The sequence below is a fragment of the Homo sapiens genome, chromosome 15 (genome assembly GCF_000001405.40).
Source record: "Homo sapiens chromosome 15, GRCh38.p14 Primary Assembly".
NCBI classification, from domain to species: domain Eukaryota; kingdom Metazoa; phylum Chordata; class Mammalia; order Primates; family Hominidae; genus Homo; species Homo sapiens.
The window spans coordinates 85,360,808-85,384,983 of NC_000015.10; the positions used below are offsets into that span (position 1 = coordinate 85,360,808).

Consider the following 24,176-nt stretch of genomic DNA (forward strand, 5'->3'; position numbering starts at 1 on the left):
GTTCAAGCAATTCTCCCACCTCAGCCTCCTGAGTAGCTAGGACTACAGGCATGTGCCACCATGCCCCGCTAATTTTTTTAATTTTTTGTAGAGATGGGGATCTCACAATGTTGCCTAGGCTGGTCTCAAACTCTGGGGCCCAAGTGATCCTCCCACCTTGGCCTCCCAAAGTGATGACACTCCAGGCATGAGCCACCATGCCTGGCCCAGATTTGCTTTTTAAAATTGCCATGAAAATTTGTGTCCACAGATTTGACTTATTTTTATGAACTCATGATAATACCCAACTTCCTTTCCTTCCATGTAAAGAAAAAGTAACATCTTCAAAAATTAAAATTGTCCAAGTACCTCGTGTTAGGTGGAATTTGGGTTTTATTTGCTGTAGGGAGTGGGGAAGGTTGGACTTGAATAGGAATATTGACACTGAGACTTACTGATTTGCTCTTCTTTTACCTGCAGAGCCAAATCAATGGTACTCATGCTACGAACAGGAGCTATGGTATTTTTACCAAATCTGGAGACAGTGATCTTCACTTTGAAAAACAGGTTCTGAGAAGCCCCTCAGAAGTGAGAAAGGCTGTAACCTAACCTCGAAATTTATTAGCAGAAGCAGGTAATGACCACGAAGTCTCGCCGTTAAGGCACACCAGTGCTTGCCTTCTATTTCTGGCTCTAACCAAAGCTGTCAGCTTCTCACTTTCAAAAAAACTTAGTTCACTTCATGAAAAAAATATATATACATGATTGTGAGAAGTCTACAGAAGTCCCCTGAAAATCCAGTGACCTCATTTTTGGTAGCTCTGTAATATTTGTGAACATTTGTTTTTCAGCACTGTCACTACTTTTGGTCAAATTTACTGTCAGGGTTTTTGAGTTTCAAGGGCAGTTTGTCTTAACCAGTTTCTCCATTTATTGGAAGATCTGTCTCTGTAACCTAAATACAACACTCTCACTCATACTAAAAAATCCAACCAGCCCCAACCACAGGCAAGATCTGGAAAGCAGAACTGGAAAGTGGATTAAAAGAAAAAGCCCAAACTTTTTGTGTTGCAGTCCTTTATTGCCTTCATTCGCTGGACAACTTTCCTAATGTGACATTTGTCTTGGCCGATGAAGTGTCACATACTAAGCAGGTGATAAGTGGCATAACTCAATGGAAGTATTTGGGAAAGTAAGTCAGAGGCAAGTGACAAGCTGGAATGTATGTAACTGTCAGCACAGACAGGCCAAGGGCCCAAAATAAAAGCTATTTTTCCTCTCTGACTTGGCAACCCTGCTTGAAGTTAGGTTTAGGCTCGCTTTTTAAATCAGTCTGTGTGTGTGTGTGTGTGTGTGTGTGTGTGTGTGTGTGTGTGTGTGTGTTATGACTGCCATCTTCCTATTGCTGAATACCTACAGAAGAAAACCAGAAGGTAGTGGTGTACTTAAAAATGAAAAGAGGCGCGAGGCGTGGTGGCACACACTTGTAATCCCAGCACTTTCGGAGGCCGAGGCAGGCGGATCACTTGATGTCAGGAGTTCGAGACCAGCCTGGCCAGCAAGACGAAACCCTGTTTCTACTAAAAATACAAAATTTAGTCGGGCGTGGTGGTATGCACCTGCAGTCCCAGCTACTCAGGAGGCTGAGGCAGGAGAATCGCTTGAACCCGGGAACTGGAGGTTGCAGTGAGCTGAGATTGCACCACTGCACTCCAGCCTCGGTGTTGCAGCGAGACTCTGCCAAAAAAGGAAAGAAAGAAAGAAGGAAGGAAGGAGAGAAAGAAAGAAAGAAAGAGAGAGAGAAAGAAAGAAAAGAAAAGAGAAAGAGAAAGAAAGAGAAGGAAGAAAGAAAGAGAGGGAAGAAAGAAAGAAATAGAGAAGGAAGAAAGAAAGGGGAAAGATGGGGATCCTTAGAAGAAAAAACAAAGAGAAGTGAAGCAGATTTCCAAAGAGACCTGATATGCACTTCAGGAGACCAGCTAAAATTACCCCAGTTAAAGAGTGTCTTGTGTCACAAGCTTTGTCCCTAAGGTATGCTGAGGCCAAGTCCTCCCAACGTGGAGCTCTATCATAGCCCAGCTGGGAATTATCCACCCACCGGGGTCTGTGGGTCAAGACTTAAGTGCATTAGCAGAAGGCATCTTCAAGCTGATGTGATGGAGACCCATCAAATCTGAATCAAAGCCAAAAAGGGAAAGAAAACAAAATTAAGTAGCTCTTTCATAAACTTCAATAAGGTTTCACAAATTGAGACACAAGATGTGAGATGTTAAAAACATTCTCCCAGTGCTTTTCTCGGACTGAATGAGTTTCTGCATTTAGGCAGTTTTGGCATTTGCAAAGTGCTTGCTTTGTGTGAAAGGAAGTGAATGTGAGGATAAAGAAGTAGAGGAGAGAGGTGAAGGACCAGCTTCTATCCTGTCTCTGTTTCCAGGCGTCTTGATGTAGAGCTCTACTTAACTGTGAGAGCAGCTCCCAAATAAAAGTGGGACTCAGCACTATATTCCTATAAGTTGGTGACTGATTGGACTCTTCTCAATAAATCAATAATGGGCTTCATGGAGGTGGTGTTCTTGAGCCAGCCTTTAAGGTTTGTGGAATTTGCCAGGCAGAGATGCTGTGGATGGATCTTCTAGGTAGAGGGAAACATATGAATAGGGGCAGGACAGAAGGAAACCAGAGAACACATTCTGGGCACATAGAGCTGTAGAGTCAGAAGAACATGGCATCAGTCTGGATACTTGGGGCAGGGCAGATTTAGGTGTCAGAGGTTGTCAGCCCAAGAGGTGACCCTTTACTGAAGGATGGAACATAGGAAAAGGAATGGATTTGGGAAGGAAGGTGATTAAGAAGGGCATCTGTTGGTTTTGCTTGCCTGGCATCAATCCTACTTGCTTCTGGCCACAGTATGTCAATTTTCTTCTAAGCAAAGGGCCTTCGCCACATTCTCAGTTCACGTAGTTCAGGTGTAAATGACACTCTCTTTGGCTCAGTGGGTGAACACATGACCTGGGCCTAACTCATCTTAGGCCCTCAGGCATGGCTCTATAATTTTTATATAGAATTGCTTATTAATTCAAGTATAATAGTGGGAGGATAGAAATTTAAGCTAAGTCTGCATATTAATTTATGTAAAATTAGGAAATCACTGAAGGATAGGGGAATGATAAAGATTATGGGGAAACCTTTTTTTTTATTTTTATCTTTTTATTTTGAGACAGAGTCTCACTCTGTTGCCCAGGCTGAAGTGCGGTGGCTCAATCTTGGCTCACTGCAACCTCCACCTCCCAGGTTCAAGCGATTCTCCTGCCTCAGCCTCCCAAATAGCTGAGACTACAGGCATGTACCACCATGCCTGGCTAATTTTTTTATTTTTAGTAGAGACGGGGTTTCACCATGTTAGCCAGGCCAGTCTCAAACTCCTGACCTCAAGCAGTTCGCTTGCCTCAGCCTCCCAAAGTGCTGGGATTACAGGCATGAGCCACTGCACCCGGCCAAGGAACCAACACTTCTTCAATGACCTCCCTACAGTGCTATAGTGACGTACGGATGGATATATGATCAAAGCTGGGCCAATGAAAGACAGCCCTGAGACTTTTGATGCAGTAGTAGAAAGTTTAGTACAATTGCTGCCTACAGTAATATTGGTAATAGACTTTGTTTTGTTTAGAGATGGCGTCTCGCTCTGTTGCCCAGGCTGGAGTACAGTGGCGCCATCTCAGCTCACCGCAACCTCTGCCTCCTGGGTTCAAGCAATTCTCCTGCCTCAGCCTCCTAAGTAGCTGGGATTACAGGCAAACACCACCGCACCCAGCTAATTTTTGTACTTTTTGTAGAGACGGGGTTGTGCCATGTTGGCCAGGCTGGTCTCAAACTCCCAGCCTCAAGTGATCTACTCGCCTCGGCCTCCCAAAGTGCTGAGATTACAGGAATGAGCCACCATGCCCAGCCAGTAGTAGACTTTTGATAAAAGATACAGAAACTCTCATTTCATTTTGGGGTAGGGAGTTGATAAAATGGGGAATCGAAGCTTCTGATGATCATCTTGTCACTATGAGAGAGAAGGTTTCTGAGAAAGAAACCAAGATAGAGGAGAGCACAACCAGGAGAAGGCAATGGGGAAAGATGAAGAAGGTGTTGGGGAGAGACAGATTCCTAACGGCATCATTGGGTCATCTGGAACCAGACTTGCTTGAAATCTTTCTCTGGACTTAAATTTCCCTTTTGGTTTTTTTCTTGAGCCAATGGACTAAAAGAGTCTTAATGAATACAAAGATGTTGGTTTGGGACATACATATTTAAGTTACTGGAAGTCATCGAGGCAGTCAAAAAAGTAGAATTAGTGCTTTGAACACTATATCGAGTGCCCTGAGCACTGAGATAAATATCTGAGAGTCATTCACATGGTTAAAACAATAATAAGGGGCAATATTTATTATATTTTTTGCTTTGTGCCAGATATTGTTCTAAAGAGCTTTATATGTATTCTCTCATTCCACCTCACAGCAGCCATGTCAGTTAAATACTTTTATTATTTCTATTTTACAGGTAAGGACACTAACAGACACACAGGAGAGGCTTAGTAATTTGCTGTGGTGGCCAGACTCCACGATGGTCCTGGTGAGATCCGCTTCCTGGTATTCATGTCTTTATTTCATCCTCTCCCCTTGAGTGTGGACTGGACTTAGTGACTTCCTTCTTTTTTTTTTTTGAGACAGAGTCTCACTCTGTCACCCAGGCTGGAGTGCAGTGGTGCGATCTCGGCTCACTGCAAGCTCTGCCTCCCGGGTTCATGCCATTCTCCTGCCTCAGCCTCCTGACCAGCTGGGACTACAGGTGCCCACCACCATGCCCAGCTAATTTTTTGTATTTTTGTCGAGACGGGGTTTCACCATGTTAGCCAGGATGGTCTCGATCTCCTGACCTCGTGATCCGCCCGCCTCGGCCTCCCAAAGTGCTAGGATTACAGGTGTGAGCCACTGCGCCCGGCCGTGACTTCCTTCTAATGAATAGAGTAAGGCAGAAGTGATGGTATGTGACCTGGAAACTAGATCATAAATACAGTGTGGCTTCTACTCTTATTTCTCTGTTTCTCTGGCTTCTTTCTCTCAGATCACTCACTCTGGCAGAAACCATGTTATAATCAGCGCTGTGAAATGGCTCATGAGGTGAGAAACCGAAGGTTCCTTTAGTTAAGGGAATAAGCTTGGAAGTAGATCTTCCAATTCCAGTTCTGGTGGGGACTAGAACTTTACTGACAGTTTCACTGCTTCCTCATGAGAGACCCTGAGCCAGAACCACACCACTAAGCCATTCCTGATATCTGGTTCTCAGCAACAGTGTGAAATAACAAATGTTTGTTTGAGTCTAAGCTGGTAAATTTGCTGGAAATGTATTACACAGCAGTACATAAGTAATGCAGATTTTTGTACCAAGGGTGGGTGCTGATGCAGAAAAAATCTAAATGTTGGAATTGCTTTGGAACCAGTAAGTAAGTAGAAGCTGGAAAAGCTGTGAGGATTTTGAAGAGAGTGATAGTGAAAGCGTAAAGCGTCTTGAACACACTATTAGTAGAACTGTGGACTTCAAGGAGGCTGTCAGTGAGGACAACCACTTTTCCGTTAAGGGAAAAATGATGACAATCTTATGGGAAATTAGATAAAAGGGGATTTTTAATGCAGTAGCAGAAATTTTAGCATTGTTGTTGCCTACCGTAATGTGGGTGGTAGAAAATGTCCCTAAGGAACTGAGAGATCAAGTTAAGGAGATTTCTAGTCTTTCCCCATCACCCTGTCTTAGCTCTGCTTCCCTCTGTCTTGGTTTCTTTCTCGGAAAGCTCTTCCCTCATAGTGACAAGATGACCATTGGAACTTCAGGCCGCCATTCTACCAGCTCTCTACTCCCAGTGGAATGAGAGTTTGTGTTTTCCAATACTTTTATCAAAAGTCTCAGGGTTGTCTTTTATTAGCTCGACTTCGATCATATGTTCATCACTCCAGATGCCACCTGGTCTCTTTTTGCTTCTTATGGAAAAGGACAAGAGAAAGGAATTAACTAATGGAAAGATTGTTAAACAAAAAGGAGATGGCTTTGAAGATCCCTAGACTCAGCCGGGCACGGTGGCTCACGCCTGTAATCCCAACACTTTGGGAGGCTGAGGCGGGTGGATCACTTGAGGTCAGGAGTTCAAGACCAGCCTGGCCAACATGGTGAAACCCTGTATCTACTAAAAATACAAAAGTTAGCCGGGCGTGGTGGTGGGTATCTGCAATCCCAGCTAATCGGGAGGCTGAGGCACGTGAATCATTTGAACCCAGGAGGTGGAGGTTGCAGTGAGCCGAGATTTCACCACTGCACTTCAGCCTGGGCGATAGAGTGAGACTGAGTTTCAAAAAAAAGAAAAGGATTCCTAGACTCTCTAGACGGCAAATGACATTAAAATTTTTGGGGTAGGCACTGTGGCTCACGCCTCTAATCCCAGCACTTTGGGAGGCTGAAATGGGCAGATTGCTTGAACTCAGGAGTTCGAGACCAGCCTGGTCAACATGGTGAAATCCTGTTTCTACCAAAAAAAAAAAGCCAGGTGTGGTGGCATGCACCTGTACTCCCAGCTACTTGGGAGGCTGAGGTGGGAGGATTACCTGAACCTGGGAGGTGGAGGTTGCAGTGAGCCAAGATTGTGCCACTGCACTCCAGCCTGAGCAACAAAACATGTTTCGAAAAGAAAAAAAAAAATTTAGTGGCTTCTGAGGAAAGATCAAATCCAGGATACTGCTAGGGAAACATGGTCCAAAGACAAAGCCAAGGGTGTATCTATAAATCCACGGTTAAAACTTCAGAAAGCTTAAAAGTGGAGCCTTACAGTACCCTTTAGTCCAACAAAAAGCCTCTTAAGATTGTAAGGGTGTGGTGAACAGATCCTCTTGATCAAAGAATAGGGCTTCTAAAAAGCTTAAGAGTGTTGTCTCCGCTGGGCCGTGCTGGCTCACACCTTTAATCCCAGCAGTTTGGGAGGCCAAGGCGGGAGGATCACTTGAGCCCAGGAGTTTGAGACCAGCCTGGGCAACATAGCAAGAACTTGTCTACAAAAATTTTAAAAATTAGCTGGGTGTAGTAGTGCCTATTTGTAGTCCTAGCAACTCAGGAAGCTGAGGTAAGGGGATGGCTTGAACTCAGGAGGTTGAACCTGCAGTGAACCGTGATTGTGCCACTGCACTCCAGCCTGAGTGACAGAGTGAGACCCAGTCCCAAAAGAAAAAAAAAATTGTTGCCTATCAGCAGAAACCCAAAGTAGATGAGTGCTTATATCAAAGAGACTTGCAAGTATGACTTTAATTTAACAACATGGACCCCCATTAAGATTCATAAGAAATCCACTACATATTTAAAATAATTACATGAGCAGAAACATCATAATCTTAGATTGAAAGAGGCAGAGACAGTACAAAATGAAAAGAGGGCTTTGGATTCTCAAATTCAACAAGAAAGAAGCTGGCTGAGAAAACTACTCTATTGCAAACACACACTACCTGTCATTAAAAAGGAAAGATAACTCAGAAGAGGGAACCAAGAGCTATGAGAATCACTCCTGGGAAGAACTAGGACTGACTCCTAATCAAGGAACTCACAACAGTTCTCAGGATAGATTCAGAATTGCTATGGACCACCATGGCTGGTCCACAGCAATGATGCCTTTATATTCCCCATTTCCTCCCTTTTTGAACAGGAATGTCTATAGTGATTATCTTTTGCCTGTTTCCCCATTGTACATTGAGTGTATGTGTATGTATGTGTGTGTGTGTGTGTGTGTGTGTGTGTGTGTGTAGGGGGCACAATACTTGCCTATTTCGCAGACTTCAAAAGCTTAATGATTAAGAAGAACTTTATGTAAGGGCTATATCTACAGCTGGACCTCATTTTGGTTATGAGATTCTGGACTTCGGGCTGATATTATAATGGGCTGAGATTTTTGAGGGTCTTGGGAGGTGGCGAGTACTTTTTGCATGTGGGAAGAACATGAATCAATGAAGGGCCAGAGACTAGATTGTTATAGTTAGCCTCCGCGATAGACCCCGATGCGCCCCACCTCTTAGAATTCAGTCCTTTGTGTAATCCCCTCTTAAATGTGGGCTGAGCTTAGTGACTTGCTTCTAATGAAAAGAATAAGGCAGAAGGGTTGGTATACAACTTAAAGACTATGTCATAAATATAGTGTTGCTTCTGCTCTCTCTCTCGGTCTCTCTCTCTCTCTCTCTCATCACTCAGTCTGTGAGCAGCCACGTTGTGAGCAGTCCTAAGGAAAGGCCCAAATAGCAAGAAATGGAAACTTCCTGACAACAGCCAGGTGAGTAAGCTTGGAAGTGAATCCTCCAGTTTCAGTCCAGAGAATGCAGATTTACTGACAGCTTCACTGCAATTTCATGGAGATACCTTGAGCCAGAACCACCAATGTAAGTAGCTTACAGAGTCCTAACTCTCAGAAACTTTGCAAGATAATAAATGTTTGCAGTTTTAAACTAAATTAGGAGGGTAATGTCTTATACAGCTATAAATAATATACTTTCCAAAGGCACATACTCTACAATTCCATTTAAACAAACTCTGAGACAAATTTTATCTATAATGATAGAAAGCAAATCAGACCGGGCATGATGGCTCATGCCTGTAATTACAGCACTTTGGAGGCCGAGGCGGGAGGATCACTTGAGCCCAGGAGTTCAAGGCCAGCCTGGGCAACATAGGTAGACCCTGTCTCTATAAAAAATTAAAAAAAAAAAAAAAAACTAGCTGGCCATGGTGGCGCATGCCTGTCATCCCAGCTACTCAAGAGGCTGAGGTAGAGATCACTTGAGCGTGGGAGGTCAAGGCTGCAGTGAGCTATGATCATGCCACTGCACCCAGTCTGGGCAACAGAATGAGACCCTGTCCCAAAAAAGACAGAAATAATGCCGGGCATGGTGGGTCATGCCTGTAATCCCAGCACTTTGGGGGGCCGAGGCTGGCGGATCACCTGAGGTCAGGAGTTGGAGACCGGCCTGGCCAACATGGCGAAACCTCGTCTCTCCTAAAAATAAAAAATTAACTGAGTATAGTGGTGCATGTCTGTAATCCCAGCTACTTGGAGGCTGAGACAGGAGAATCATTTGAACCTAGGAGGCGGAGGCTGCAGTGAACCGAGATTGTGCCACTGCACTCCAGCCTGGGCAACAGAGCGAGACTCCGTCCCCCCACCCCCACACACAAAAAGACAGAAATAGATAGATAGATGATAGATAGATAGATATCTCTACATAGAGAGAGAGAGAAAGAAAGAAGGAAAGAAAGAAAAAGAAAATTAGCATAGCCTAGGGTCACGGAGGTAGGGGTGGGAATTGTGGGCAGGGCCATATAAAAACTTGCGGAGACCTCAGAAATGTTCTATTTCTTAGTTATTGGAGTGCTTACACATTTGTCACACTCATTGAATTGTACACTTAAAATTGGAATATTGTTGACTGTATATTTTACCTTAATAAGATTGATTTTAAGAAAAGAGGGCAAGTGATGAGGAGGTGGAATCAGTAGGCTAAAAAGTATGATGGCAAAGGCAAGAAGAGAGATGGGACAGTGTCTTAAGAATGTACTTGGGTCAAGGATTTTAGGCATTTTTTAAGATAAGAGAGATTTGAATAAGTTTGAAGGCAGACTATAAGGACTAGAGATATAAACCAGAAAGCTTAAATTATAAATTATAAAATTATAAATTTATAAAGCTTAAATTATAAATTCTGGCGGGGACTGAAATAAATGATGTTTAGCCGGGAGTTTAGTTAGATCATGAACTACTTCCCGGGGAAGATAGGTTAAAGAGATTTTAGGCACTCAGTTCTAGTGTCCTCAGTAATGTAGGTCTGTTTACATACAAGAAGTTCAAGGCTTTGAGTGGGGAGTTAGGTTTAGATAGAGAAGAAGTTTAATGTAGTTTTTATGTGAGTTGACACTGGAAGTCAATTACTTTTGAATTCTCTGCTAAAGTGTTTAGCATTATTCTGTAAGCAAAAGGGAGCCATTTAAGTCTTTTGAGCAGGAAAGTGAAAAGTCAGGGCTGTACTTTTAGGAAAATCATTCTGTTACAGAGAGGACCATGGACTAGTTGGGAGTTATTAGACGCAGGAAAACCAGTTAGAAGAATATTGCAATCCTAGGGACAAAAGCTGGTGAATGAGCCCAAGAGAAGTAGGAATGGGAAACTTTACCTTAATTTGTAAAAGAGATTGCGGCAGAATGAAAAGGCGGCATGCTGGAAATGACTGGATGGGATTGAGGGAGAAGGAAAGCGGAAAATAGAGCAGATGAGGGAGAGAAGGATTTCTCACTTTTGGAGCCAAGTTTGTGGTCCAGCAGGCAATTCAGGTGAAGAGGTGCTTGTAGTGAGAGGGAATAGAGTGTGAGACCTAGTAGGAGTGATCTGATCAAGCTGCGGATGAGATTTAGGAAGCATCTATTTTCTTTCGTTTTTCTTTTTCTTTTTTCTTTTTTTTTTTTTTTTTTTTGAGACGGAGTTTCGCTCTTGTTGCCTACGCTGGAGTGCAATGGGCGCGATCTCAGCTAACTGCAACCTCCTCCTCCCAGGTACAAGCGATTCTCCTGTCTCAGCCTCCGAAGTAGCTCAGATTACAGGCATGCGCCACCACACTCCGCTAATATTTTTGTATTTAGTAGAGACGGAGTTTCAGCATGTTAGGCTGGTCGTGAACTGCTGACCTCAGGTATCCACCCCCATCAGTCTCCCAAAGTGCTGGGATTACAGGCGTGCATCAACGTGCTCGGCTCTCTCCTTCCTTCCTTCCTTCCTTCCTTCCTTCCTTCCTTCCTTCCTTCCTTCCTTCCTTCTTTCTTTCTTTCTTTCTTTCTTTCTTTCTTTCTGTCTTTCTTTCTTTCTTTCTCTCTTTCTCTCTTTCTCTCTTTCTTTCTTTTTTGAGACGGAGCCTTGCTCTGTCGCCCAGGCTGGAGTGCAGTGGCGCGATCTCGGCTCACCGCAAACTCCGCCTACCAGGTTCACGCCATTCTCCTGCCTCAGCCTCCCGAGTAGCTGGGACTACAGGCACACACCACCATGCCCGGCTAATTTTTTTGTGTTTTTAGTAGAGACGGGGTTTCACCGTGTTCGCCAGGATGGTCTCGATCTCCTGACCTCGTGATCCGCCCGCCTCGGCTTCCCAGAGTCCTGGGATTACAGGCGTGAGCCACTGCGCCCGGCCTATTTTCCTTTCTGAACTAAGAGATCACCTCTTGGTTTGGACTAGGTGTCCCTTTTGAAACAAATGATAGTGTGGGTGTCTTAGCTCAAGCTGCTAGTACAAAATACCATAGACCGGGTGGGTTAAACAACAGACATTTATTTCCCATTCTGGAGGCTGAAAAGTCTAAGATCAAGATGCTGGCAGATTCACTCCTTGGTGAGGGCCTGCTTCCTTACTTGCGGATGGCCACCCTTTCTTTGTTTTCTTACCTAGCAGAGAGAGGAGCCTCTGGTGTTTCCTTTTTTGTTTTTTGAGACAGAGTCTTGCTCTGTTGCCCAGGCTGGAGTGCAGTGGTGCAATCTTGGCTCATTGCAACCTCCACCTCCCGGGTTCAAGAGATTCTCCTGCCTCAGCCTCCCCAGTAGCTGGGATTACAGGTGTGCACCACCACACCCAGCTAATTTTTGTATTTTTAGTAGAGACAGGGTTTCACCATGTTGGTCAGGCTGGTCTCGAACTCCTGAGCTTAAGTGATCCGCTTGCCTCGGCCTCCCAAATTGCTGGGATTATAGGCGTGAACCACCATGCCCAGCCTGGTGTTTCTTCCTCTTCCTATGAGGGCACCAATCCCATCATGGGAGCTCCACCTTGATGACTTCATCTAAACTTAATTATTTCCCAAAGTTCCTACCTCCTCATATCACCACATTGGGGATTAGGGCTTCAACATATGAGTTTTGGAGAGGATATACACATTTATTCCATTAACAGTGGGTAAATGGTAAACGGTGCTTCAGAGTCAGTAATACCTACCCTGTTCTTTCTGGAAGATAGGTTGAATGGGTTCAGGCAGTGTTTCTCAAAAATGTGCCCTTAATGGGATATGATATATTAATGTGTTTTCCAAGGGCAGTTTGTGTCATGGTCAAATAAGTTTGAGTAATATAGGATTAAGCAAAGCCAAACAGTTGGGGTTTTTCAAATGCAGGACTTCTCAAGGCCTTAATATGTAATGCTACTATGCACAGTTAATCTTCATGAGGAGAGAAATATAAAATAAAGCATTTCTTATATTCATTTAAACAGACAATGGTTTTTCTAAGGAATTAATGCTCCAAGAGAAGCACTTTAAGAAAAACTGATTTCAGCTGTGCCAAGACGGCCGTTATTTGTAATAGTTGTACACAAATAAGGACTTCTTTCCTTTAATATAGAAAATGCAATATAGTTTTGGAAAAAAATTCTATTAGTAGTGAAGAAAATTTTTTAACAAGTTCTTCCCAAGAAAGCCTGAGCTTAGGCCTCACATGAGTTGTTGGAGTCCATTTCCATTAAATAGCGTTTGGGGCTCAACAACATAGTGTTTCTCTAACTCCAGCTTCAGAAACCTACCATTATAAATAATTGGGGATAATTATGAGAGCAGCTGAATAAACTGGAAAAGGTTGGGCATAAAGAGAAAAGCAATAGGAGGAAATGTGCAGTACTTGAGCTCGCCCATAAATCTTTCTGGAGGCAGAAAAACAGCCCCCATCTTCTCCAAACTGGAATGCGCATATAAAGTCAATACCAAATGAAACCTAACCAAATCAAAATAACGGTACCCTGAAAAGTGACTCTAGTTTTATTTTGCAGTTATTGAGAGAGAATCTCTGGACCCTTTCGTGCAGTTATTGAGAGAGAATCTCTGGACCCTTTCGTGCCCCTAAAATTAAATCCCCTGACTCCAGGCTAAAAAATATGGCAATAACTTTGTTTGGGGCCAGGGTGGTCCCTTAATCCTGAGGCATTTGTGATTCCTTCCCCCCTATCAACCCAGCATCCCTCACCCTTCTACCACTGGAAACATAATGACTTAAGAAGCTCAATTTGGTCTCATGAGCAGCCTTCAAGCAAACCTTTTGCTGGGAAGGTCGTTATGGAGAAAAGCAAGGGTTTCAGAAATGAAATAAATTGTTCTATCAATAAGCAGTACATCTGGCATTTATTAATTAAAGGCTGGGGAGCCTCTGGGGGCAGGAGACTGGGTGGCTGCTGCAAGTATTGAGGAAGTCAGTACATGATAATATGCACTTTTTGTTGAAAATTCTCTATGACAATTTTGGCAAGGTGCATGTTTCCCTGCATTTGTCAATTATCAATTTTTCTGCATAATCAGATCTACTCCTAGACTTCATTTTATCTTATTGTCTCTCAAGGGGGAAGTGGAGGAGGGATGTAAAGTGGACAGAGCAACTTGCATTGTGCCAGACAATGTGCTCAGGGTTATATTTGTTATAATGTGGCTATTGGGTGGGAGTGATCCCTTTACAGACAAAGAATTTGAGCATCCATGATCCAAACTTAGCTCTGAACTCTTCTTTTTTCTTTTTTCCTTTTGAGACAGAGTCTCACTCTGTAGCCCAGGCTGGAGTGGTGTGATCTCAGCTCATTGCAACCTCCGCCTCCTGGGTTCAAGCAATTCTCCTGCCTCAGCCTCCCGAGTAGCTGCGACTATAGGCGTGTGCCACCACGCCCAGCTAATTGTTTGTATTTTTAGTAGAGATGGGGTTTCACCATGTTAGCCAGGACGGTCTTGATCTCTTGACCTTGTGATCTGCTCGCTTGGGCCTCCCAAAGTGCTGGGATTACAGGCGTGAGCCACTGCGCCCGGCCAGTTCTGACCACTTCTAAACTCCTTCTGTTTCATGCAAGAAGAACTTAAATTAGAGAGGTTAGGCACTCTGATGCCCTGACGACAGGGATGTAAATTATAAATCAGCACAACTGTTTTGGAAGACTGCTTGCAATGAATATGCAGCAAGGTCCCTAAAATGTTAATAGTATCTGACCTGGTAATAATCGTAATGATAAATGCCATTTACTGTGCATTTACCCACAATCCAGCATATAACCTTAAGCCATATCTCTGCTTAGTTTGCGCCTGTAGAATTCCTGAGATGTATTCTCAACAAGGAACTGGTTGCTTAATCAGCTCTCTACTGAGCACCTACTCTGTAGCTAGGCTGACTAGATAGGTTCATAGTTCCAAGTACAGAGGGGAGGAGGAAGAGGAGGTGAGAGAGCCCTAATGAGGGAAATTGTATTCAAGTACTATTCTAACTTGGATTTGGCAACTTTCCCTTAGTTTTCATCTCTTGAACGATAAGCGGTGCCAATCAGTAGCTATGTGACTTGGAGCAAATTACTTAATCTCTGTAAAAGAGATTACTTGTTACTTGTAAAAGGAGGATAATAGTGCCAGCCTAGGGTTGTTGTGATGAATAAATGAGATAATGCAAGTGAAGAGGTATGGTGCAGGAATTTTGGCTTTAGGAACATATTGAGGTTTGGAAGGAATTCCTAGATAGAGGCTCTGTATCAGAAGCAATCAACCTCACCTTTGCTGTCCAGTACACTAGCCATCAGCCACACATGGCTTTTGAGCACTTGAAATGTGACTAGACTGAATTGAAATGTGCTGTAAGTGTAAATACACACTGGATTATTTTGAAGACTTAGCACAATAGATAGAATGTAAAAATACCCCATTAACAAATTTCACCTGCTTCTTTTTTACTTTTTAAATGTGACTACTGGAAAATTCTAAAGCATACATATGGCTCATATATATTGGATAACATTGGGCTTGACATCAGGGAGGCAAGATTCCCTCTGCCCCCAAGAAATAAAAATTCAGCTCTAGACTGCAAAACCTTCTGCCTGGAGGAAGATTTCTCTTAAAGATTCCCTTGTTCTCTTCCATCCTCATCCCCAACTTAAATCCAGCCTCGACATATGGTGGTAAGGTGATCTTTCTATTACAAGATGAAAATCTGCTCTCACTGTTGTTCTATTTCTTCACACATTTTGAGGTTTCCTCTTTGCCTTTCAGAATAAGGGACACACTCCTTACCAGGGCTGCGTACCAGGCCATTCGTGACCTGGCTGCCACTCCCTGCCCTCAGCTTCATCTCCCACCCAGTTTCTTATGTGTGTTGTATTTCTGATACCGCCGTGTCTTTGAATTTGCTCTTCCCTTTTCTAGAAAGGTCATTCTATTATCTGTGCACACACACCCTAGTCTCCTGCACTACCCCACTGTTCTTTATCTGCCTGATTGTCTTCCAAGACCCAGCTTATCTGTCTCATCCTCTTGGATGTCTTTCCTAAACTTTCATCCTTTAACTAGGAGAAATACTCCTCTCTGTTCCCCATAACACCCTCCATTGGCCTCTTTAAAGGCACCTACACATTTGATTTCTTCCTGGTTTGCCTGCCTTCAATTGACTGTGAGTTTCTTAAAGACAGTAACCTCTTCTTCACCTATAACCCCAGGACCATGACTAATGCCTGGAACACAGTAAACTCTCAATAGACATTTGTCAGGGAATTGGCCAGGGATCATCAGCTCATGGGTGGTGTGGCAATTAGAACTCTTCTGGATGCAAGTGACAGAAACCTCCACTGTGCCAGGCTTTATTGGCCTACAGGATTGAAAAGTCTACATTGCCGGATTCAGCAGTTCAACTAGTGTCACTAAGACACTGTTTTTCTTCATCTCTGTTTACTTCCCGTTGTTCCAGTTCCATTCTAAAGGTTCTTTCTTTGTGGTGACAAGATGGCTGACAGGTATATCCTTCCAGATTCCATTTAAGGGAGACAAATATTCCAGTCAAACAAGACCCTAGTTCCAGCAGAGTAGTCTGGAAGTAGTCACCGTTGCCCGTGGATAGGATACATCAGGAGAGTCAGGTCTGGATTCCACGCTGAGGCCATGGAATTGGGGCTGTGGTAGAGCTGGCTTCACACCAAGCAAGGAGCTGAGAGTGGAAGCTCTCAAAGCATGATCAGGACACTATTTCTATCACAAATGCAATACAATGTCCACTGCTGTGAAGGAACACTGGGATATACTTGTTCCAGTGCTTCTATTATCAAAGTGGACAGGTTAGACAGTGTGAGCTTCAAGAGAAATTTATGCTCTTTTAACTGTGTTAATTTTGTTTTTTCTTTGCTTTGGCATTGCCAGGAACTCTCTGTAAAATGGGATTTATTCTTGTTATATTTTTAGGTATTATATAGAACCTGTGTAAATCAGTTGGGAAGATATATAAGTCAATGGAGAGATAGTTCAGAGATACAAAACCCCACCACTGTTTAGTAAGGCATCTTTCCTGGCTTGCGAACTTACTGAGAGTACATGAGGAAATGATTAAACCTGCAACCTCTTTCTGTGAAATATGGCATACTATGTAGAAATATTTGGTACACCTTGGAAGAACAAGTCTTTAGTATCAGGGACACTCAGTTTGAAGGCTCCTTGTAATAGCTTCTTCTGTACAAGTTCACTAATGTGAAATTCATTGAGTCCATACTGTGAACCAGACACTATTAGAGGGGCAGGAGAGAGGGGGTAAACACAGCATACTTCAAGGAGCTTACATTATAGTGGGAGGAGCCAATAAACACACAAGATAAATAAGGTACTTTCAGATTGAGATAAATGCTATGGAAAAAACTGAGTAATACGCAAGAGAGGGACTAGATTAGAGTGGGTCAATTTAGGGAGGGTGGCCAAGGAAGGTTTCTCTGAGGAGGATCATTTGAGCTGAGGCCTGAATGATGAGACGACATCAGCCATGCAGATAACAATTTAGGAATTCCCAAGGAGGACAGAGGGCTCAACCGTTTGGGGAATTTAGGGTAGACTCCTGCCTTCAAAGTTGGGTTTCAGGCTGGGCATGGTGGTTCATGCCTGTAATCCCAGCACTTTGGGAGGCCGAGGCGGGCAGATCGCCTAAGGTCAGGAGTTCAAGGCCAGCCTGGCCAATATGGTGACACTCTGTCTCTACCAAAAATACAAAAACTAGCTGGGTGTGGTGGTGTGAACCTGTAATCCTAGCTACTTGGGGGGCTGAGGCAGGATAATCGCTTGAACCGGGGAGGCGGAGGTTTCAGTGAGCCGAGATCATGACACTGCATTCCAGCCTGGACAATAGAGTGAGACTCTGTCTTAAAAAAAAAAAAAAAAAAAAAAGTCGGGTTTCAAAATAGCTACGTCAGTAGCACCTGGGAGCTTTTTAGAAATGCGGAATCCCAGATGCCACCCCAGACTTACTGAATCAGAATCCACATTTAACAAACACTCCCAGGTGATTTGTAAGCACAGTAAATTCAAGAAGTGCTAGACTCTTAACTTTTCCTGCAGCCCACTGGAAAGGTGTAAATCCTGCTGAGGCGGGGAGCAGGGAACGGTGTTGTCAGTGTCCGTAGAAAGATGACATGGTAACATTTACTGCTGCCTCTGAAACAAACAAGCTAGGTTCTAAGGGGGAAGTTCACTGGGTTATCAAATGTTAGGGTCCAAGTGATTTTCTTGGTTAGCACTCTTGCTTCACAGAAGACTCAGGTTCTTTGAGAAGTGACCGGCTCATGATAGGCTGCTTCTCTCTCTGTGCCAGCCTTTTTTTTTTTTTTTTTGAGATAGGGTCTGGCTCTGTCACCCAGGCTGGGGTACAGTGGCATGATTTGGCTCACTGCAACCTCTGCCTCCTGGGCTCAAGCAATCCTTCCACCTGAGCCTCCCAAGTAGCTAAGATTTGGGCTACCATGCTTGGCTAATTTTTGTATTTGTTAGTACAGATGGCGTTTCAATTGATGCCCAGGCTGGTCTCGAACTCCTGGGCTCGAGCAATCTGCCCTCCTCAGCCTCCCAAAGTGCTGGGATTACAGGTGTGAGCCACCGCGCCAGGCCTTGTGCCAGTTTTTAAAAATCAACAAGGACAGATTAGAGAACAGTGGAAGAGGGTGAGCAGCATGATGAAGTGATACAGAAATAATTTCACATGAAGAACTGGGCATGTTTGGCCTTTCTTTTCTTTTCTTTTTTTTTTTTTAAAGCCATTCGGTGAGGGTTACTTAAGAAAATAGGGCCGGGTGCGGTGGCTCATGCCTGTAATCCCGGCAATTTGGGAGGCCGAGGTGGGTGGAGCACCTGAGGTCAGGAGTTTGAGACCAGCCTGGCCAACATGGTGAAACACTGTCTCTACTAAAAATAAAAAAATTAGCCGGGTGTGGTGGTGGGTACCTGTAATCCCAGCTACTTGGGAGGCTGAGGCAGGAGAATCGCTTGAACCCTGGAGGTGGAGGTTACAGTGAGCTGAGATTGCACCATTGCACTCCAGCCTGGGCAACAAGAGTGAAACTCTGCCTCAAAAAAAAAAAAAAAAAAAAAAAGAAAAAAGAAAAAAAGAGAAAATATATGTGAGCACCAGAGCTCAACATTAGGAGCATTTCTGAGATTTGGAGCTATTCAACAATGGAAGTTCCTGGCACACACATCAGGTATTCACAATACCCTTTCTCAGGTGTTTGGTCACTGCTAGTGAGCCGCCTGGATCAGTGTTTCCCAAATGGCAGTCATTTGCATCTTTGCTTTTCTTTTGGGGGCGGGGGGGTAATATCCTGTACCAGATTTTTGAAAACTGACATTAAAAATACATGTTTAAAATGTGCAAAGTGCACTAAAGTGCACTGGATGTATTTTTTATTCATGTATATACTTTTGTTATCTATCACCCAGGTCAAAATACAGAACCAGCACCCCAGAGGGTTCCCTCCTCCTCCTTCCCAGCCAATAATCTTCTCCTCCTACCTAACCGCTGTTCTTACTTCAATCACTATCAACTAGTTTTACACGTTCTTCAACTGCATATAAATTGTCTCAGTTTTTTACTTAACACTTTTCTTGAAGTGCTTTCGTTTTTTGCCACTTTTTATTTGACCTAAGAAATAACATTAATGAAACAGTGGTTTGACGTGATAGGCATTTCCCTCCTAATGCGCACTAAAAACACTTAACTATTTGAAAAAAGAAGTTTCTTCGTGTACCAACTAATATATTCTCCGCCCTGTCTCCAGAAACCGCCCTTCCTCTGTGGGCCGGTGGTTACCGGCACCATTGGTACACGGACCACATTTTGTTTCCCAAAGCAACCAGATGATTTTTGAGGTCCTTTGCAGCTCGAACACGGAATGACTTTGTGGTGATCGAGTAGCCAGAAGTTCACGGAATGCACTGTCACAATTGTGATTCCGCCATAGCGCCGTGCATCCATCCAACACTTGTTTAATACCTATATTTAATACCTAATACCTTAGACGGTCCTAGGCTGTGGACACAGAAGACTAAACCCCACTTCCTGAGTTGAAGTGGGGGAAATAGAGGAGTAAATCATTTCACGATGTGTGGTTAAGTGCTGCAGCTCAGGTAACCACCAGTACACAGAGGAAGGGCGGTTTCTGGAGACAGGGCGGAGAGGAGACCGTGGGTGGGCATTTCCCAGAGCAGCCTCTGCCAGCCACCCTACTTTGATCACTTTGCCGCCGAGCAGCAGCGGCGGTCAACCTCAGCCTCCCTTAGCAACCTGAGTGCCCCGTCCAGGAGCCTTACTATTGGTCTCATGCAGCGAGATGGGCAGTTCTGCCGTGCAATCCCAGCTCGCAGTTCTTGCTCCGCGTGTACTCACGGGAGGACTCGCAGGCGTTACCGCCTTCCCGCGTGCCCCGCCCACCCTCCCGAGCGTCTTTCGGCGCATGCGCGGACTGGAGCTGTGTGCAGGGCCAGCGCGGAGCCCGAGCAGCCGCGGTGAAGCGCCTGTGCTCTGCCGAGACTGCCGTGCCCATTGCTCGCCTCGGTCGCCGCCGCTTTAGCCGCCTCCGGGGGAGCGGCCGCCTATTGTCTTTCTCCGCGGCGAAGGTGAAGAGTTGTCCCAGCTCGGCCCGCGGGGGAGCCCCGGGAGCCGCACGGTGAGAGCGCAACTTAGTTGGCGGAGTTGGGGGAAGTTTTGTGATTTGTGGGTCGGGGCGCGGAGCGCGGCCAGTCCCCTGCGGTTGCTCGGTGGGGCGGGCCCCGGAGGAGGGGCGGGGGCTGCGGGGGTTTCGGGGGCGGGCTGGACAGACGGGTCGCCGGGCGGCGCCGGGACCTCAGGTCTGCGGACCCCTCCTCCCTGCGCATCGCCCTTCTCCCGCATTGTCTGCTTGGGGCTCGGCGCGCCTCCCACTCCGCAGCCCAACTTAGAGGCCGTCGCCGCTTTCCGGGTGGGGGGCGCGCCCGGCCGCCGATGCTACCTCAGGCGCTCCGCCCCCAGCGAGGCCCCGAATCCTTGCCCCGGGTCCCCGGGTCGGCGCCGCCGGGGCGGGCTCACTCCTCCCCTGGGGCGGGCGGCCGCGGTGTGGAGTCCCCGCCGTGGAGTCCGCGCCGTGAACAAGTGCTGCGGGCGCGAGGGAGCGGCTCCCCGGGGTCGACGCGGACGGTAAACACGTCGGGCCGCGCCTGCCTGTCGGTGCCTCTCCGCGGCTTCTCGGGGGTGCGGCCCAGCTGACCCGCGCGGGTCGCAGGCGAGCGGCCCAGGAGACCCGTGCGGTCCCCACGCGCTCTGGGACCCGTGCAGCCAGCCGGCTCAGCTTGCAGCTATACTTTGATACCAAACAAAACTTTTTTTTTTTTTTTTGGTAAATACGGTTTACTGCTTTTTTTTTTTTTTTTTTTTTGCAAAGCCACGAAGTATGTGAAGTTGAAAAAAGGAAAAACCCTAAAACTTTTTAAAAAAAAATCAAGAAAGGGGGTAGATAGGTTTGTTTTGTTTTGGAAATAGTTCTTATAGCAGAGTGATACCGTCCCATTTAATTTTCTAGATCCCGGAATTCACAATGAAAATTGGATTGAGCGGTATTTTGGTGTTCATTCTTTGCTAATGACACTCCTTAATGAAGTTATTTGGAGAGTTTATTGCTTCAGTACAGTAAAAACCAGTGTGCCTTTTTTTTTGTTAGTAGTCCCCCCCACAACAAGTGTTTTATTTTTAGAAGAAGCATTTTCTTCAGTTTTTCTGAACTGTTGGATTGCGCAGATGAGGACAAACGGTGCAGTTCTTGAAAGGTCATTATTGGCAAGTTTGTGAAGAAGCTAAGATCAGTTGAGATAAATCATTGTTACTATTCTTGTATTCTGTCGTGGACTCTTGGGGATTTGCAGGCTGCATTAAGTACAAGTTTTGTCAAGTTTGGGTGCACATATTACACTTAATTTGGTTTGTGTGGCTTATTATATGAACATGATTCTGTTTCAGTTCCCCAGATGGAACTAGCTTAAATGTCTGTCATTCATAGTGGAGCAAAATGGCCAGAGTGTCATTTATTGTTAACTTCAGTTGTATTCCTTTACCATCTGCTAAATGAAAAAGAAAAATTTGAGAAATACTGTGTGTGTCAGTTTGCTCAGAGTGATTTCTCGTGCTAAGTGAGTCCTGTGGAGAAGCGTTCCTGGGCTTTTCTGGTTTGGTGGGCCTTGTGTTATAAAACCAATTTTCTTCACCTGATGAAGCTAAAGACAAATTTTCTTCAGGTACAGCCATTGCACTTTTAAATTACAGAGCCGCTTTTAGGATTCACAGTACTCGCTCCATGGCTTCCCTTCCTGGTTGTGTGGTTTTGTGTGTGTGATTGTGGGGAAGGAGGTTGACAGAGGTTGGAAGGGATTGTCAGGGAGGGACATAATGTAAGCAAGTACTACTTACAACATGACGTGACGAGTGCACTAGTTGCTTTCCTTCTCTGGGCGGTGATGGCATGTTATACTGTAGGTACTATTGTTTTAGGATTTCTCACACTTCTTTTGCCTTGACTAAATGGTAACTGCACACATACTATACTATAAATGGACTCCTCCTCTAGTCCTTTAACTCCTTGAGGGCTGTGATAGACCTTATTTAGCTTTTTACCCTCTTTGCCGGTAGTCTTAACATAGTGCAGGCACGGTACGTGTTTGAATTGGGTAAATTATTTTTACTGCCTAGTGGTAGCTAGCGTACACAGGAGAGAGCCACTAACTGGGGACCTGTCCAGAATGACAGTTCACTTGCAGATCTGTGATGACATTTACTTTAAAAGGATTTCTAACCTTTTTTTAATCTGTCAATTATTTTTTGAAAAGAAGTGGGTTTAACTAGCGCTCTAAGGATTTCAACAAGAGGTTCCAATTTAGAAATCAGCCCCCCCCTTTTTGTGAAATTATTATTGTTTTTTTTTAGAGTCGGAATCTTCACTGTTGCCCAGTTGTCTCTAACTCCTGGACCCAAGCCATCCTCCCACCTCAGCCTCCCACAGTGTTGGAATTACAGACGTGAGCCACTCCACCCAGCCAGTGAAATTATTAAAATTGTTGGACAAATCTAGTCACAACTCTCCCTCCATTGTGAAATTGGAAAAAAATTAGAAATTTTAGAAAAAAGTACACCCTTTGGAACTAGGTAGCGTTCAGATCTCCACACTTCCATTGACTAGTTGCATAGCCTCTCAGAGCTTCAGTTTCCTACTCCATAAGCGTTAGTAACAGTGTTCTTAGGAATCAGTGAAACTATGTGAGGTACTTAACTACAGTATCTAACATGGAGTAGGCAGCTATTACCTAGTAGCTGTAATGATAATAATTTTGGTACATTTTTACATGACTTAAGCATTCTTAAAAGTCTGATGCTTCTGAGTGTAGAGGTTTAGCTATTTCTTTCATAAAGAAGGGGCCTTGAGACTTGTGAGTCTTATCGAAGTCTATTTCTTCAAAGGTGCCAGATGAACTGAAGGATAATGGAAACAATAGCGAGTTTATCTTCTCAGTCACCTGTGAGTCTTCCTTTGAGAGTGGGACTTGCAGAGTGGCTTGGTAGGGTAGAGCTCTTTGTGACTATGCTATTTGGGCAACAGTGAGAGATGGATTGTTTTCAGTACATCAGTCATAAGAGGATATGAGTTCCAACTTTATTTTACCTTAGTCTTGGCAAATAAGTGTGGATTGTGTCTGTATTTCTCAAACTTGTTTAAGGTAGAGCTGGACTGGGTGTTAACAGTGTTAGTTCAGTACAGAGACATGAGCAAATCACTCACTTCCTCTTCAAGATAACACTTTAAAGGTGACACCATTTACAGAAGAAGGCAGTGATTTAAATCAGTTATACTAGCATAGTTTAGAATACTTACACTACCTAGATGGAGTAGATACATTCTAGAAATATTTACCTGTTAAGGACATTTCTTTAGATTTTATTCCATCTTTCCATTAGTTTTCTGATGAAGAGATTATAGTAAACCTTTAAAAATTATATTTGATCAAACTTACAGATTGAGGATAAACCTTTAAAAATTACAGTTGGTCACACTTACAGATTGAGGGTAAAAACATTCCTGACAAAGCTAGGCGAAGAAAGTTGGACTTTTGATGTTCCCTTCTTTTAAAGTTAACATCTGGCACTTGAATAGACTTGGTTATTACTGATGGGGACAGGCATCCATTTGGAAGTAGCTTCCCTCTCTCTTTCCCAGGTTAGGCTGTCTTACTGCTGTAAATGGGGAGAGACGAGAAAGCTGTGGGTGGAAGAAAGTTTGTTTCATAGCCTGGCGCAGTGGCTCACGCCTGTAATCCCAGCACTTTGGGAGGCTGAGGCGGGCGGATCACTTGAGGTCAGGAGTTCAAGACCAGCCTGGCCAACATGGTGAAACCACATCTCTACTAAAAATACAAAAACTAGCCCGGCAGGGTGGCAGGTGCCTGTAATCCCAGCTACTTGGGAGGCTGAGGCAGGAGAATCGCTTGAACCCGGGAGGTGGAGGTTGCAATGAGCCGAGATCATGCCACTGTGCTCCAGTCTGGGCGACAGAGCGAGACTCCGTCTGAAAAAAAAAAAAAAAAAGGTTTGTTTCATGCATCTGTCCTCACTGGTCAGTGGAAGAAAGTTTGTTTCCTGCGTTTGTCCTCATATTTATAGTTTTCTCGTCCACCTACAAGTTGATTGTGACGTTATGAATAGAAGATGAATGGATAATGTGTTTTTGTCAGACCTTGCTGTAAGGATGGACCTGGTACTGAAATACCGTGATTGTATGAACATTTGTGTGGGGCAATGCTGTGTTCAGTGCCTGGGGAATGTGGATATCAGTGTG

The 24,176-nt window shown here is 44.5% G+C and overlaps 1 protein-coding gene, 1 long non-coding RNA gene and 1 other non-coding gene across 4 annotated transcripts in view, besides 3 other annotated features; 2 read left to right on the plus strand and 1 right to left on the minus strand.

Moving 5' to 3' along the window:
* Nucleotides 19,647–19,726: a silencer, noted in NCBI's record as "silent region_6779". NCBI's record gives its function as "represses an Ori minimal core promoter by ATAC-STARR-seq in GM12878 lymphoblastoid cells {active_cell/tissue: GM12878}" and the evidence as "EXISTENCE:reporter gene assay evidence [ECO:0000049][PMID:35858748]".
* On the plus strand, nt 19,789–19,855 carry MIR7706 (microRNA 7706). Its single transcript, NR_106993.1, has one exon. It is a non-coding gene; the product is annotated as a microRNA 7706 (primary transcript).
* AKAP13 (A-kinase anchoring protein 13) overlaps nt 19,796–24,176 on the plus strand; it is a 368,756-nt gene continuing 364,375 nt past the window's right edge. For both annotated transcript variants that reach the window (NM_007200.5, NM_006738.6), the window contains exon 1: nt 19,796–19,991. The gene's annotated coding sequence lies outside the window, so the exon portion shown is untranslated. The remainder of the gene's footprint in view (nt 19,992–24,176) is intronic.
* Nucleotides 20,107–20,676: a silencer, noted in NCBI's record as "silent region_6780". NCBI's record gives its function as "represses an Ori minimal core promoter by ATAC-STARR-seq in GM12878 lymphoblastoid cells {active_cell/tissue: GM12878}" and the evidence as "EXISTENCE:reporter gene assay evidence [ECO:0000049][PMID:35858748]".
* Nucleotides 20,333–20,500: a silencer, noted in NCBI's record as "fragment chr15:85924371-85924538 (GRCh37/hg19 assembly coordinates)". NCBI's record gives its function as "represses an EF-1alpha promoter that drives an FKBP-Casp9 reporter gene in an ReSE screen in K562 erythroleukemia cells {active_cell/tissue: K562}" and the evidence as "EXISTENCE:reporter gene assay evidence [ECO:0000049][PMID:32094911]".
* Nucleotides 22,869–23,590, minus strand: LOC124903546 (uncharacterized). Its single transcript, XR_007064747.1, has 3 exons — nt 23,400–23,590; nt 23,256–23,303; nt 22,869–22,928 (listed from the first exon to the last, which is right to left on the minus strand). It is a non-coding gene; the product is annotated as an uncharacterized LOC124903546 (long non-coding RNA).